Source organism: Homo sapiens, chromosome 6 (genome assembly GCF_000001405.40).
Source record: "Homo sapiens chromosome 6, GRCh38.p14 Primary Assembly".
NCBI lineage: Eukaryota > Metazoa > Chordata > Mammalia > Primates > Hominidae > Homo > Homo sapiens.
In genome coordinates this window covers 47129291-47145329 of record NC_000006.12, presented here as the reverse complement: position 1 = coordinate 47145329, position 16039 = coordinate 47129291, and the positions used below count along the sequence as shown (strand labels likewise).

Sequence of the window (16039 nt, the reverse complement as noted above, 5' to 3'; positions counted from 1 at the left end):
TTCCAGAGCACTGAGAAGTATACAAAGCTTTCAAATTATTTTTAGAAAGGCAAAGTAACATTGTACCAAAACCTTACTAACATAGTACTAAAAAAGACTAACATCCAATCTCACTTAAGATAGAGATGACAAATCCTAAATAAGTATTCAGAATACAAAATTCAGCAAAACATTAAAATATACCAAATGAAATTTATTTTCAAAAATGAACTACAGCTCAGCACTTGACATATATATTGTGATATTGTACTATATTAAAAATAGATCAAAAGAAAAAGTATACTCATCTCAATCAATGGCAAAGACATTTTAATAAAGTTCTATAACTAGTTCTCATTTGAAAACACAGATAAACACACAAACAATAAAACTCTAATAGATACTGTCTTCACCAAATAACAATAAAAAGATATTTCAAGCTCAAAGTCAGCATTAGGCTTACAGTGAAAACACCAGAAGCTTTAAAAGACAAAGTTTCCCACACATGACACTATTTTGAGACATTATTGGCTAAGCACAGTCTATTACAGTTAGGTTAAAGTATAAATAAGAGACATAAATGTTATATCAAGAAAATTAAAGGAAATAAGTTGAAAAACTATTAATACAACAAGAAATCTTAGAAATGTATATTTTGAATAACAAAATTAATAAGGGGACACACACACATACACACACACACACACACAAAACTTGTGGTTTTTTCCTAAGATGGGATAAGAGAGAATTTATCTTCCTTTACGAAACAACTAAAAAAACTGATGAAATATATGAAACATCTGTTTTTGAGACAATGGACATTAGTCAACGAAGGACAGTGAATCCTGAGACATGGAAAACAAATGAGGTAAGTCCTACGATTGCCCAAGCTTACTGCCTTTAGAGAATTTCGAGGCTGGGGAGCTGAGAAGGGAAACCAAGCAGAGCTCAGCTGACTCCCTGAGTTGAGGAGATTGTTTTGTAAATAAAGCTAATTTGGGAATAAAAGACACATTTAAAAATCTATAATTAAAAATCTTCAAAGAGTCAAGGAAAGTTATAGCATCCATAGAATTAAACTAACGTCATAGTGAAAGGAGCAAAGACAAGAACAAATTCTTAGAAGTTTAAAATATGACAGAAGAAAAATAAAAGAGGGTTGGAAGGTAAAGTTAGAAAAATCTTCTTGGATACGGAAAAAAAAGACAAAAAAATACCTTACAAAGTAGAGAGAAAAGAAAATTTGAGGAGGGTCAATTTATTCCAGAAGTAGAAAACAAAATACCAAGGGGAGAAGAGTATTAAAATGACACCAGTAAACATACCACAACAGAATAATCTGAGTTTCCTGATAATAAGAACCCACTGAGGACCAGTACAATGGAAAAAAAAAAAAAGACTCATACCAATGTGCTTTATTGTGAAATTTCCATAAACTGGAATAAAGAGAAAAATTCTAAAAGCTTCCGGAAGGAAAAATAGAGGATTCCTAGAAGAAAAAGACTAAAAACGGCATTTGTCTTCTCAATATGAAAATGGGAAATAAGGCCAGGTGCAGTGGCTCACGCCTGTAATCCCAGCACTTTGGGAAGCCAAGGTGGGTGGATCACCTGAGGTCAGGAGTTCAAGAGCAGCCTGGCCAATGTGGTGAAACCCCATCTGTACTATAAATACAAAAATTTGCCAGGCATGGTGGTGGGCACCTGTAATCCCAGCTACTTGGGAGGCTGAGGCAGGAGACTGGCTTGAACTCAGGAGACGGAGGTTGCAGTGAGCCAAGACATCATGTCATTGCGCTCCAGCTTGGGCGACAAGAGTGAAACTTCATCTCAAAAAAAAAAAAAAAATTTGTGGCTGGGCATGGTGGCTCACATATGTAATGCCAACACTTTCGGAGGCTGAGGTGGGTGGATCACCTGAGTTCAGGGGTTTGAGATCAGCCTGGCCAACATGGTGAAACCCCATCTCTACTAAAAATACAAAATTAGCCAGGCATGGTGGAACATGCCTGTAATCCCAGCTGCTCAGGAGGCTGAGGCAGGGGAATCGCTTGAACCTGGGAGGTGGAGGTTGCAGTGAGGCCAGATTGTGCCACTGCACTCCAGCCTGGTTGACAGAGCAAGACACTGAAAAAAAAAAAGAAAGAAAGGAAAGAGAGAGAGAAAGAAAGAAAGAGAGAGAGAGAGAAAGAAAGAAGAAAGAAAGAAAGAAAGAAAGAAAGAAAGAAAGAAAGAAAGAAAGAAAGAAAGAAAAAAAAAGGAAGTAGAAAAAGAAAGAAAGAAAGAAAGGAAGGAAGAAAGAAAGAAAGAAAAGGAAGGAAGGAGATGGGAAACAAACAAGACAATGAAGAAACACAGTTACCATTCTAAGCTGAGTGTGGCATCACACACCTGTAACCCAAGCTACTGCGGAAGCTGAAATGAGAGGATCACTTGAGCCCAGGAGTTTGAGGTCAGCCTGGGCAACATAGAAAGATTCTGTCTCTTAAAAATAAACAAATAAAACAATTTTTTTAAAAAGTAAAGAAACACATTTACCATTTTAAAGAAATCATTTGGAGGAAGGAGTTGGGAGTGAGGTTTGTTGAATTCCATACCTAGCCAAACTAACAAATCATGAGTAAAAGTGGGATAAGGATATATTTTAAGACTGGCAATGTCTCTAAAATCTATTCCCTGTGAACACTTTCTCAAAAGATACCATAGGATATGCATCTCAAAAATACGGGGTTAAACAAAGAAAGAGGAAAACATAAGACCAGAAATATAGAGATGGAAAGGAAAGTCCCAGGACCACAGTTGTGCAAATAATTCTGAGTGGAAGAGGAGTAAGGAAGGCCCAGCTGAGATTTCTTCAGGAAAAGATAATTAAACTGATAGATTTTCTGAGGGAAATGATCACATGGAAATAGAGCTCACAGGGGTTTCACAATTCTTTTGGAGGGCTTGATAAGAATTATCATTGTTAACATTGTCTACTTAAACATATTAGATAAGTCTTGCTCTAATTTTTTTCATTCTTTTAAGTACAGAATTAGTTTGCAATAATTATAGTTCCCTATTGCTAAAGGAAACCTTTTAAATGGTAAAATTCTGACTCACATACAATATAAAATGAATACATGTCAACGATTTTATTTAAGCTATTAGTTAATGAGGAACTAGTAAGATGTTATTACCATCAATTAATGAGGAAACTAGTAAAACAAAGGGGAATCTGTAAAACTGACATAAATAGGAAATAAATGATCATGAAGTGAATTTCCTGATAAATGCAAAACTGGCCACTTTCACCACGGAGAAATCAATTGAATCTCTACTGGACACAGTTCTCTTACATCTTTATGGGCAAGATTTATTTCCATTACTATCAGTTTTCTACAATTTTTAAAGTTGTAAAATGGCTCAGTTCTTAGAGAATCAGATAACTGGGAAAGGTGCACTAGGCACTATGTAATATTCCACTGGAAGAATATTAGATAACTTTTTTGCTCATTTCAGAGTTCTTCACATTTTTTCCTGACATACTCTTTAAATATTAAATTCTGTTTCTATTTAAAAGTATAATGGAGGAAAACATGTGTGTGCTGTTAACCAAACGAAAGGAATACATAGCTGTTTAATAACTGGGCAGAGCTGAGCTAGTAAATCTTGGAGAAGCTTATCTAAAACGCAGGTAGAGTTTTAAGAAGGTTGAGATAAACTTTAAGATTTCTTTTTTCTTTTTTTGAGACAGAGTCTTACTCTGTCGTCCAGGCTGGAGTGCAGTGGCACAATCTCAGCTCACTGCAACCTCCACCTCCTGGGTTCAAGTGATTTTCGTGCCTCAGCCTCCTGAGTAGCTGGGATTACAGGTGCACGCCACCACATTTGTATTTTTGTAGAGACAGGGTTTGTATTTGTATTTTAGTAGAGACAGGGTTTCATCATGTTGCCCAGGCTGGTCTCCAACTCCTGGGATCCAGTGATCCGCCCACCTCTGCCTCCCAAAGTGCTCAGATTACAGAAGTGAGCCACCATGCCCAGCCTACTTTAAGATTTCTAAGCCTTAATAGTGACAAGAAGCCTCATTGTAATTAATTCTTATTACATTTTCTAAATATATCAACTAGAACCCTAAAGGCAAACATTTTAGTTTGTATGGTTAAATAAAATTTATGAGAGGCCATTGTTCTAGACTGAGCTCCTACAATAGGCCCCAAGAGACCAGACTAGACCAGAAAGGAGTCACTGGGGTTAGGCCAGTTTAAAACATCACCAACAAAAACCCAGGAGATTCACAACAGCCAATAGAAAAGGAGACCTGAGCCGGCATGATTAGGAAGTCCCTTCTGCTTTAACCCATACAGGGAAATGACAAATCTGCTTCTTGTTCCTTGTCTCCACTTTCTTGAGGCTTTTCTGCCTATAAGGCCCAGCCTCTCTGCTCAGCAGAGTGTCTTTCTATTTCATTGCTGGGAGGTTTCCCACTGCATGGATAACTAATAAAAGTCAATTCAATCTTCAAAACTCAATGTGTTGAAATTTTGTTCTTTGACAGTATTGACAGATATCTTTTCCAGAGCAATTGAATCGTGATGGTAGTGGTAATATAGGGAGGGAAAAAACAGGTGCCAAAAACCTCAGGGATGTAGAAACTAGTTCTTAATTTACAAATCTTGTATGTAAGACATAAAAGCTAACTGCAAAAAAACAAACAAAAACCCACAAAGCTGAATACATATAAGGTAGTACCTAGGTAAAATTTTGACTTTTACTGTGAAATTTTCTTCTTCTATCACCTTCTTCCTTCTACATGGCCTTTAGGATGAAGACAAGAATGCAGAGTTGGTGGAGAATCCTAACTGTATGGAGGAGTTGCCTCTTAAAAGCATCAGCATTTTTGAGTAATAATGATAAAAAATGAGGGAAAATTGTTGTAAGGCTTGGAGGAAGAGTTACTGTAATTCACCTCTGAGAAATCACCAAAGCTGATTGCAATTATTAGAATATTGGGAGCAAGGAAAGGGGTTTGACACCAGCTGTGCAAAACTTATTTTACAAACAAAATTCCTACTTGGAAAGTGCTAACTTTAACAAGGGATTTAATAATGCCCTCCATTCAGGGTGCATATAAAATATTTGTTTTCTATATTATTCCTAATAGTGGTTTTTCTTGAAGGACAGATCCTAGGAGATGTTATATCCCCAAATATTCAGAGTAGACTTTTATACTTCCACTATTTCCTTTTCCCAAAGACCGTTTATAGAAGCAATTTATGGGGATGGATGCAGTGGCTCACTCCTGTAATCCCAGCACTTTGGGAGACTGAGGCGGATCACTTGAGCCCAGGAGTTTGAGACCAGCATAGGCAACATAGCAAGACCTTGTCCCTATTAAAAAAGAAAAAGAAGTGATTTATGGATCAACCTAACCAAAAAAGTATGGTGAATGTTCTTTCTTTTTCAAGTTTATTGAGTGTGATGGGGAGCAGGATGAAAAGATCTGGAGGTCAGAGGAAGGGACTGAACTTGTGTGAAGGTCCCACTATGTGTCAGACCCATTGCTGTGTAACTTATCCTTTGCTATCCTTTGAGATAAGGGTTTTTATCCCAGTTTTACAAATGAGGACACCAAGGCGCTACACTGGGCCCAACACAAGATAGCTGTTTATCTGACTCCAAGATTGTACGCTGTCTTTCTGTTAGACAAAATTGCATTGCTAAAAGTATTGCTGTTGGTCTGTTCAAGTCTGGTTCCCATCTTTGAATTCCCCCTAGGAGCTCTCTTTCTTATTCCATGGGTTGTTTTCCTGTGTTGTGTGTCCTCATCCCCCAGCTAGCCTTTTCCTGAGCCCCTCCTTGGCCCCACGCCCGCCTTCCCTTTTTGCATTGTCTGTGCTGTTAGCAGTAATGTACTTAAGCCCCTCTCTTGGGATAGCTGTGAACCTCCTTGAAGGTCTTCTCTCCCCTTTGACTTCTGGCACTTAGAACCCCTTCTGCTTTTCATTTGGGATTTATATCCTGCCTTCTGTTGAGTGTTTCCTTCCATACAGTTCAGGTTTTATTGAGATCTCTAAGGAGATGTAAGACCCTGAGGACAGTGATGGTGCCTTAAGGCTCTTTGAAAGTCTCTACTTCAAGTATAAGACCTTGCAGAGTGGGTGCTTGTAAACACTTGTTAAATACATGACTACAACCCTTTACAAGTTTGTCCCATGTTCTTCTCTCCACCATTGAAATGAAAATAATGGGCCAGGGGCAGTGGGTCACACCTGTAATCCCAGCACTTTGGGAGGCCAAAGTGGGTGGATCACCTGAGGTCAGGAGTTCGAGACTAGCCTGGCCAACATGATGAAACCCCATCTCTATTAAAAATACAAAAATTAGCCAGGCATGGTGGCATGCCCCTGTGATCCCAGCTACTAGGAAGGCTGAGGTGGGAGAATTGCTTTAACCTAGGAGGTGGAGGCTGCTGTGAGCTGAGATCGTGCCACTGCACACCAGCCTGGGAGACAGAGCAAGACCCCATCTCAAAAGTAAATAAATAAATAATGAATTAATTAATTAAATAAAATGGATTATAAAAAATACTTCTTTTTTTCAGAATTCCTGCAAAAGAGATAACTTCTGGTAAATAAAAATTTTCCAAGACATGAATGAGTCATCAAGGTTTAATTTATTTCAACATTCATTCCTAAAAACAGTTTATTTGCTTTTCCGCAGGAAAATTTGCATTCTCCCTGTTGTGGAAATAGGTGGGGATTTCGGGGCAGGCTGAAGAGGGAGCTATTTTTTTCAGAGATCTGCGCATTCCCCCTGTGAGGGAGGCTGACAAGGACCATGGAACTCAACCATTGTACGCAGTAAGACCACCACGCAAATGCAGCCACACTTTCTATGCTGCTCTTCCCCTTCGCTCTCTTCCTTGAGACTTCTCAGTACCACTCTGTTCTTCCTACCTACACCCCTTACTTCTCTCTATTTCTGCAAAGTGAGGTCTTATGGAGCTGGCCTGGTTTCAGCATCCTTGCTACCCCTTTCTAGAATGTTCCCAGAAGAGGAGAGTCACAACCAATCTTGCCTTTTCTTCTGCATGTCTCCAGTGACGTCTGGCTGGGCTCAGTCACTTCCTGGGTATTTTCCCACAACAGAAATCCTCGCGGTAACTCTGTAAAACCCAGCTCAGCTCCTATAACCGAGATGATACACTTTTTAAATTACGTTCTCATCATTTCCAATAAATTTCTTTCTAAAATACCACTTTGAAGACACGTAGCTTCCTATCATTATAATTTTTTTTTCATCTATTTGGTTCCAGGAATTGAATTTACTCACAGGCATCATTGCCCAACTTCATGTCTGAAGGATTTAAGACAAAGCTTTTCAATCTGAAATGACAGGCTGGAAAACCAAGTGCCAGTTTTCCACGCAAAAAATCAGAGATCCATGCAACAGCTTCTTTGGCTCTGGCAGAATGGGAAAATTAGTGATTGAACACTTCTCTGGGCTCAGCCCCCTCGCCCACCAATTTGTAAATTAGGCTGAGTTATTTGCATTTTTACAGTCTCAAACCGTTTGTAGAAACATGCCATTTTGCCTTTTTAAACCCAAATAATAACGTTGCAAGAATTTGGCAGTTAAATGACATCTAGCTCTCTGATTAAAGAGAGGAAAGGAAAGCCATTAGTCTCATATCCATCCTTAGTGGGGAAATACATCTTTAAGAAATTATGGCACAGAATAGTTCCATTTACAATCATTCAAGTTTTTTTTTTTCTGAGAAGTCGTGCTTGATATCAATTATCCATTTTTCCCTTCTCTTTGTGCTGTCCTCAGAATTCTTCCTGAGAAGTTAACTTTAATCTTCTGCTTTGTTTCAAAGCCTGTATTAGATTAACCTCTCTTTTTCTTTTTATTTGGGAATGACTAATTAGCAAGCAGAAATTAAATTTAAAAATTTAACTTCTCTGCACAGTAGATTTCTCAAGATCCTCAGACCCTGTAGGCAGTATGAATGGATTCTCCTGTAAAGCCTTTATTTCATGTTGTGTTGTGGTTTCCAGGAAGACAAAATGCACTTTGGACCACATCAACTTGAATAACATACTGGGTGCTCTAAATTGACTCTTCTGTCCCTTCAGGATGAGATTTCAGTGATTTTAAAGTCCAGAGTATTGGAAAGAGAAGAAGAAATTTTCATAGCCTGGTGGACAAAGGAATTTGATAGAAAATACTGTAGATAATTGTAGAATTCAGGACTAGAAAGCCCAGATATGTACAGGAACTTCTTTCTTTTAAAGATTAAGACAATGAGATGCAAACCTAATTATAGTCGAAGCCCGAAGGTTTATACAGGTCTGGTTCCATTTCCCTATTAGTACTTTCTCGAATGCACTATCCTCTGGATACAGGCACAGGAATGTATGATCCAGTTATATCAGCCTGGTCTAAATTTCAATTAATTGCGCCTTCTTACCAACTGTCACCCCAAGTATCCCTCAATACCACAGTTCATTCCTTTCTGATTTCCATTTTCTTCTTTTATCTTCCTTTCCCTCCCATCTTTTATTTTATTTTGCTCTGATTGTTTTCACTTAGTAAAAGCACCACCGTTTGTTGCTTCCTGGGGAATGGGCACTTCTCTCAATTGTGGCTCCCAGCCTCTGGTCTTTTCTGTCTCTTCTCAGGATCTACCCACATCTTTATCTCAAGCTTTCATTTCTCTCAGTCACTAGTCCAAAAGAACAAGGCTCCCTAACGCTTGCTACCAACAGGTGCCAGTAAAAGATGCCTCCCTTTGTTCTATATGAATTTAGATAAAATGTTTGTTTTACATATGAATTGGTATCAAAAAGCAAGTTGGTTCTGTCTAAGAAAGCAAAGGCCTGAATAAGAGCAAGGTAATAGATTTAAGGATGGAGATGATCATGATGATGCCATTGATAATTACAATACCTTGCATTTCTATTGTTCTTTCCAGCATGCAAAGCTCTTTCAATTTCATCATCTCATCCCACCATCACAACGCTGGGAGATCAGTTAGGTTCGTATTAGTTTTGCCATTTTATATGAAAGCCAAGTCTTAGGTAAGTAAACTGATGTGTCTCAGGACCTCACTCCAGGAAAGATAAAATCAGGTTGAAACCCATGTTTTAGGACTCTGAGCCCCAGAATGTTCTGCTTCTCTGGAATACAGTCTGATGAGATTGTGAATCAAAAAGATACCTCACTGCCCGGTAGTATAGGTAATTATATTATCACAAAGGTTTTGGGTAAACATAATGGAGAAAACAATGTTGACAGGCCGATAAAACGGGAATAGCTCACTAAAGGAGATTGTGTAATCTTTCCTTCATGGAGGATTTATCTGAAACAACAGGTTTCTAGTATTCCCTACAGCATTCCAAACCCTGTTTCCAGAAGGCAATTTGCCAATAGGTATCAAAAACATTAAAGGCATGACTAATGGTAACCTCAGACAAATGACTCAGCATCTCCAAAGTCAGTTTCCTCATCTGTAAATAGTAGGGTTTGGGGGAGGATTAAATAATGTTTTGTAAAGTACCTGGCACAGAGGGTGTATTTGATAAATATTGTCAATGTTTTAAGAGTAATGATGACAATATTTTCACTTGTAAGAGGAAATAAGCACAAAGATTTTGTGATAAAGACATTCTTTGCTGTGTTTTTACAAGTACTAGTGAAAAGTTGGAAACAACCTGATTCCAGCAGTAGAGAATTGGTAGAATAGGGTCTGCTGGTATATCTAGCAGCCTAGATTATTATTAGGCAGTCATTTAAAAGGACACAAAATATGTTATTACATGGCAAGATGATCTTGATTTATTGTATTTTAAAAAACAAGTTTAGAATGTTAAATACAGTGTGCTTTTTTGTTATACGTAGATATGGGTAAAAATCTGGATGGGTTTACATCACTATCTTAACAGGTATTGATCCTGGAGAGAGAATTATGAATACCTTTTACTTTATTATTTTTGCTTCTCTGTATTTAAGTTTTTTCAACAATAACATGTACATCATTTAAAATAAAATTATATTTATTTTTAAATTTCAGGCTTTCTTACTTACCCTTCTCTCCCTCAGTTTATCAGATCTGTGCTGCAGGGCACTAGAAACAGACAACATTCACTAAAAGCCATTTACTAAACATTCACTAAAATAACAAGTATTAATACTTTTTGAGTATCTACTATTGCCCAGGCACTGTTCTAACCAGATGGACAAAACTGCCATCAGAGAGCTTAGCTTTAGTGGAGGGAAGACCCAAAATAGACACATGAAGAAGGGAGAGTAGACCCCACATCCAGAAAAGATGAAAATTTCTATTCCTCCTAGCAACGCTTGCTTCCCACTCCTACAAGCACCCTGCAGTCTGAGATCCAACGTCATTTCTTTGGATAAAGGCCACTTATCTTGTAAAGCGAACAGTCTGCTTAAGTGTAACATGCTGTGTCAATACTGGTAATTTATACCTTGGTGTGAGTCATTTCCTGAGAATAGATTATCTGACCGTAAAGGGAAAAGGGCTGGGAGTGAAAGTACACTGAAGAAAAGGCAAGGGAGGGGATGGGAGAAGGAATCTGGCTTCAAAGCTTCCCAATTTTAGAAAAGTAGAGGATGTGAAAATGGAGTGGGCTGGGGTGGAGTGTTGGTGTGCCACCGACACAAGTGGGGAAGGAATGTGCAAGTGGGGTCAAACTTCACACATTTCTCTAGGTTTTTAGGAACTGATCTTGGTTGTAGCAGCTTTTCTATAGATCTGAACACAAATGTCACTTCCTCTTCTCTTTCCCTTTTCTTTTCTCTTCCTCTGACTTCCCGTTTTATTGTTCACCAGCAAATCCATCTTTTTTTTTTTTTTTTTTTTTGAGATGGAGTCTCGCTCTGTCGCCCAGGCTGGAGTATAGTGGTGCTATCTCGGCTCACTGCAACATCTCTCTCTCGGGTTCAAGCGATTCTCCTGCCTCAGCCTCCCTAGTAGCTGGGACTACAGGTGCCCGTCACCACACTCGGCTAATTTTTGTATTTATCGTAGAGATGGGGTTTCGCCACATTGGCCAGGCTTGTCTCGAACTTCAGGTGATCCACCTGCCTTGGCCTCCCAAAGTGTTGGGATTGCAGGTGTGAACCACCGTGACTGGCCAAATCCACCTTTTACATGTTGTTGTTTTTTAATGTTTGATTTTTTAATTTTTGAGATGGAGTCTCGCTTTGTCACCCAGGCTGGAGTGCAGTGGTGCCATCTCAGCTCACTGCAACTTCTGCCTCCTGGGTTCAAGTGATTCTCCTGCCTCAGCCTCCTGAGTAGCTAGGACTACAGGCATGTGCAACCACACTGGGGCAATTTTTGTATTTTCAGTAGAATATGGGGTTTCACCACCATGTTGGCCAGATTGGTCTCGAACTCCTGACCTCAAATGATCCACCTGCCTCAGCTTGGCAAAGGGCTGAGATTACAGGCGTGAGCCACCGTGCCTAGCCAAAGTGTAGTTTTAATGTTATCTGTGCAGTAAGGCTTGATCCTCCCACACTCTACCTCTTTTCTCACCCCTAGTTGGGCAGAAATTCTCTGGATTCTCTGACACCACTTTATCAGATAACAAGACTCCAAGTTAATCCTATGCAACAATTACTTTCTACATTGAGTTGTAGTTGTAAAAGTAAACACTGTCTCGCTTACAGGAGAAGATGATCGTTAAGGGTAGGGTCTATGTCTATGAATCTTTGTATGGTTCAATGACAACATTAAGGAAACACCAGATTAAAGTCATTACCCTCATGGTGGCACAATTTGCGGTACATATTACAGGTTTAATAAGTATTTGTTGGATGAATTGAATGAATGAACGAATGAACCCAACATTTGCTTCTTACAGGTGCCACTCAGCCACCCGCGCTGGGATTTGACTCAACCGTAAGTTGCCAGGGAAACAGCCAGATTAGATCCTACGACATTTCTTTGTTCCATTCCCATTCTCACTTCTAGACCACATCACCTGGAAGGAGATAAAACCCTGGATCTGGAAGAATTTGGGATGCTGGGCAATATTTAACCCAAATAGAGGGGCTAGCTGCCAGTCTGACTGTCTCGGCGGAGTAATACTGCAGTAATTATGTGATAGTCTTGTGTATATCAAAAGAATATTTGATGTCCTGAGGGCAGTGGAGAGCATGAGAAAGAAAAATACGCCTGGATGGAGACATTTAAAATACTAGCTAGGTGTTTAACAACTGCGTTGAATTTAATATGTTTCAGTTGCATGCCTGCTGGGACTCTTTTCCCTCCAACCAGACTCAATTGTCTTTTAAGGCACTTGAGCTCTAGCAAGGAGAGAGGTTTGAACCTCTGGTATGTATATTTATAGACTGTTGGAGACATGAGAGCAATCACAGTAATTCCTGGAGTGAATTTCCTCCCCTCCTGTAACCTAAATAAATTTCACTCAGCAGTGTGGGTACTCTAATCCCTTCCTCACCCTTGCCATATCTGACACCCTTTATTGTTTCCCTAGCAACTGCCCAGCATGGGGAGGCTATAAAAGGAGCAACAATAAACAAAATGAATTACAACAAAGGTGACTAGCTGGCAGAATTAGCACAGTGGAGGGTGGAGGGGTTTGATCTCACATAGACTTTTCTAGTATTTCTCCTTTTCTCCTCTCCGAAGACCCTTGGCTCTGTTATTTCTCATAGCACTATAGAGCTAGCATTGATAACTCCCAGCTTTTAGAAAGCTAGCTCAAAAAGAGATCAGAGAGTTAAGAGTGACTTTTCCTAAGTCCAGGCGCGGTGGCTTATGCCTGTAAACCTAGCACTTCGGGAGGCCGAGGCAGTGGCTCACTTGAGGTCAGAGACCAGCCTGGCCAACATGGTAAAACCCTTTCTCTACTAAAAATACAAAAAAAATTAGCCTGTATGTGCCTGTAATCCCAGCGACTGGAAGGCTGAGGCACAAGAATCACTTGAGCCCAGGAGGTGGAGGCTGCAGTGAATTGAGATCGCGACATTGAGCTCTAGCCTGGGTGATAGAGTGAGACTTTCTCCCCCACAAAAAAGAATGACTTTTCCTAAATCATGAGGCTTGACCCTAATTATTTTTTCAGATATTTTGCATTTAATTCTGTTATTGTTATTTATTTCCAGTATTCCAGTGGTACCACCAACACCGGACAGCACTCACAGAGAAGGTGGTGTTTATTACATTTTAAAAGGTCTAGTCTTAATACATGTTAGAGTTGAGGCATCTGGTCCTGCTTTGTATGATTTCCTCATTCTATTCTACATGATGTGCTTTGTTCTTTGTTGGGATCTTTTGTTGTTGTTGTTTAGTTCCTTATCAAGAGTGACTAAATTATAGCAACACATACCTATGGGATATGATGTAATCATTTTCCTTCGTCATCCAACATTTATTGTGTTCCAGGCACTGATCTAGGTCTTTGGAATACCGAACAAACAGATGAAAATCTGTGCATACCTCTTAGCTGGGAGAAGAACAGTAAATACTAACTCTAGTAAATTAAGTAAATTACATAGTATACTAGAAGGTCACTCCACTTTATTTAAGAAAATAAAGTGTATTTAAGGGGGAGGGAGAGTGGGACACAACACTTTAAATTTAAAATAGGGTTTGCCGGGTGGGCCACACTGAAAAGGTGACATTTGACCAAAGGGTTGAAGGAAGTGAGGGACCGGGTGATCTGGGTCTTTGTGGAAGAGTTTTTAGACAGAGGGGCCCAGCTGTGGCAAAGGTCCATGGTTGGTGGCAGCCTGCCTGGTGTGTTTGCGGAGGAGTGTGAGCAGGAGCTCAGGCTGTGGCATGGAATGAATGGGAGAAGGAGTAGGAGATGCAGCTGAGGGGCAGCAATGGGGTGGGCTTGTCAGGTAAAAAGAGGACTTTGACTTTGAGGCAAATGAGACTGTTCAGAGGATGTAGGCAGGGAAGGGACATGCATTTTTTGTTTTAAAAAATCTTAGAACAGGAAGAACATTTAGGAGGCTACCATAATAATCTAGGCTAGAGATGGTGAGGCTTCGACCTGGTGGTGGCCCTGGATCGGGGGACAGTTCAGATTCTGGGTGTATTTTGAAAGTATAGCTAAAAGATTTCCTGATGGATTAGATGTAGAGTAAAAAAAAAAAAAAAACTCAATGTGGTACATATGTATGTTTGCTTGGTTATAATGAAGCATGGTAGATAGAATACATACCAAACCATTAATAACAGTTATCTGGAGGGCAGGGAAGGATAGAAGGGGAGGAGACTTGGCCTTATAGGTAAGCGTACATTTCAATATTGTTTGGCCTGTTGCAAATCACATTGTTGTTTTGTGGTTTTAAAGCACAACCCAACAACTTATTTGTAAAAAGACTATCCCTGATGCTCATGTGACTTAACCTTCTCACCTGTGTTTAAATCTTGGTGGGGCTCACTCAGTAATTTGTCCCTGGCCCATTCACCAGTCCTGAAAGCAGAGTTTTGGCTGTCCATGCTGGGTTTTTCCATCATCTGCCAAGTGCTTGGCACTGTAGAGAATAATATGTACCTTTTGGCCCCATATATATTAAATACAAATAAAGAGAGAAAAAATCTTCTCTGAACACTTTTGCTGTCTGTGGTGGCACTGAGGGCTATAGAGAAACGCCTCAAGCAATTTTGCCAACCGAATGCCTATGGCTACACGCAGTTGCCTCTTAATACCTAGCATCATTAATACAGAACAAAAAATAAGGCATCATCCTCCCCAGTCTCTAAGCTATGAGATGGAGACTCAGAGATGGGCTTGCTGACATTTCCTCTCCATTGAAATTTCTTTCTTACATTTTCTTTTCTTTCTCTTTCTTTTTAGCTATTGCAGGTCTGATGAAGCAGAGATGAGACTCACAGAAGACAGCTGCTGCTTTGCCCTGTGACCGAGGTCCTCCGCAATCATTGCTGCTCTGCTTACAGAATTATTATCATGGTGAAAGGAAAGAGTGCTTTCCAAAGTGTGAAGAGTTATGTAGTGATTGTTTATCCCTTCCATGTGGGCTGGGAGTAGTCAGGGAGGGTCAATTTGCTGTCCACATTCAGCATAAAAATAGCTCCAATGTGCTAAAAATATTTGTCATCCACACAGAGAAATCTGCAAGTCCTCACCACGGAGCCTTGAAAAGGAGGTCACAGAAATATCTGGAGCAAAGGACTTCCTCTCACTTGTCTCACCTAATAGCAATCTTAGAATAAGGGTTTCTCACTGCTAGGCCAAGATCTGGGTTTTTGCATTTTTGCACCAGATTTTGTTCTGTGTTCTGCTTACTCTGCTTAAATGCATGTGCAAATGAGGCACTCAACATCACTCCCCATGAACCCAAGATTCTTCTGGGCACGTTGGCACATCATCATACCCAGGGGGACAGTTCGGACTCCTCTTGTCAGGTGTTGCTTATTCGTCATCAAATTTGCCAGAGCCTCCCAGGTGCCATTCCCACCCAATGCTACCGTTCTGCACAGAGGTCCTGTTTGGTGCTGTGCCACTCTTGACCTTTTTCTCTCCTAGTAGTGGTTTAGTTTGTGATGGGTTAAACAATTCCTTTTTAATAATTGTAAATGACTTCTATTTATATTTGCTTTTTTGAAAGACATTTTAGTTACTGAGGCAAGCCTTTTATAAGTCCTCAGCACTGTGTCTTGAGTTTACAAAGCACACTGGTAAGAGACAACTTAGGTCTAGAGCAATGCGCTTCTTTACCTTTTCTCTTTTTTTTCCTTTCAATGTGTACAAATTCAGTTGTTGCCAATTCCCTAAAAGTAATTTCCCCAGAACTTCTCTTATTTGTGACAAAACTCCTAATTTCTTCTTTCAGCTCTGTTTTGGATTTTTTTTTCACTTTTTACTTTTACATTTTTATTTATTTTCCCATTGATTGTACATATTAAAAGAAACCAAAGGGCTAGTTCCTGCTCCCATCTATTCTGACTGAGGCTGTATTACTCTGCTACTAAAAGAAAATGAAACTATATTCCTAAAGAGTATGCTGGCTCTGAGAGCTTGGGCACCTTCTCACACTGTCTT

General features: G+C 39.7%; 1 long non-coding RNA gene across 2 annotated transcripts; it reads left to right on the top strand.

Annotated features, from left to right (window-relative positions):
- Nucleotides 1-6633: 6633 nt before the first annotated feature.
- LOC105375081 (uncharacterized) lies at nucleotides 6634-15620 on the top strand. 2 transcript variants are annotated; one of them, XR_926864.3, is made up of 5 exons: nucleotides 6634-6816; nucleotides 8941-9003; nucleotides 11861-11898; nucleotides 13128-13171; nucleotides 14834-15620. It is a non-coding gene; the product is annotated as an uncharacterized LOC105375081 (long non-coding RNA). The 2 variants fall into 2 exon arrangements; XR_001744148.2 differs by having other exon boundaries at nucleotides 6634-6823.
- Nucleotides 15621-16039: the final 419 nt, after the last annotated feature.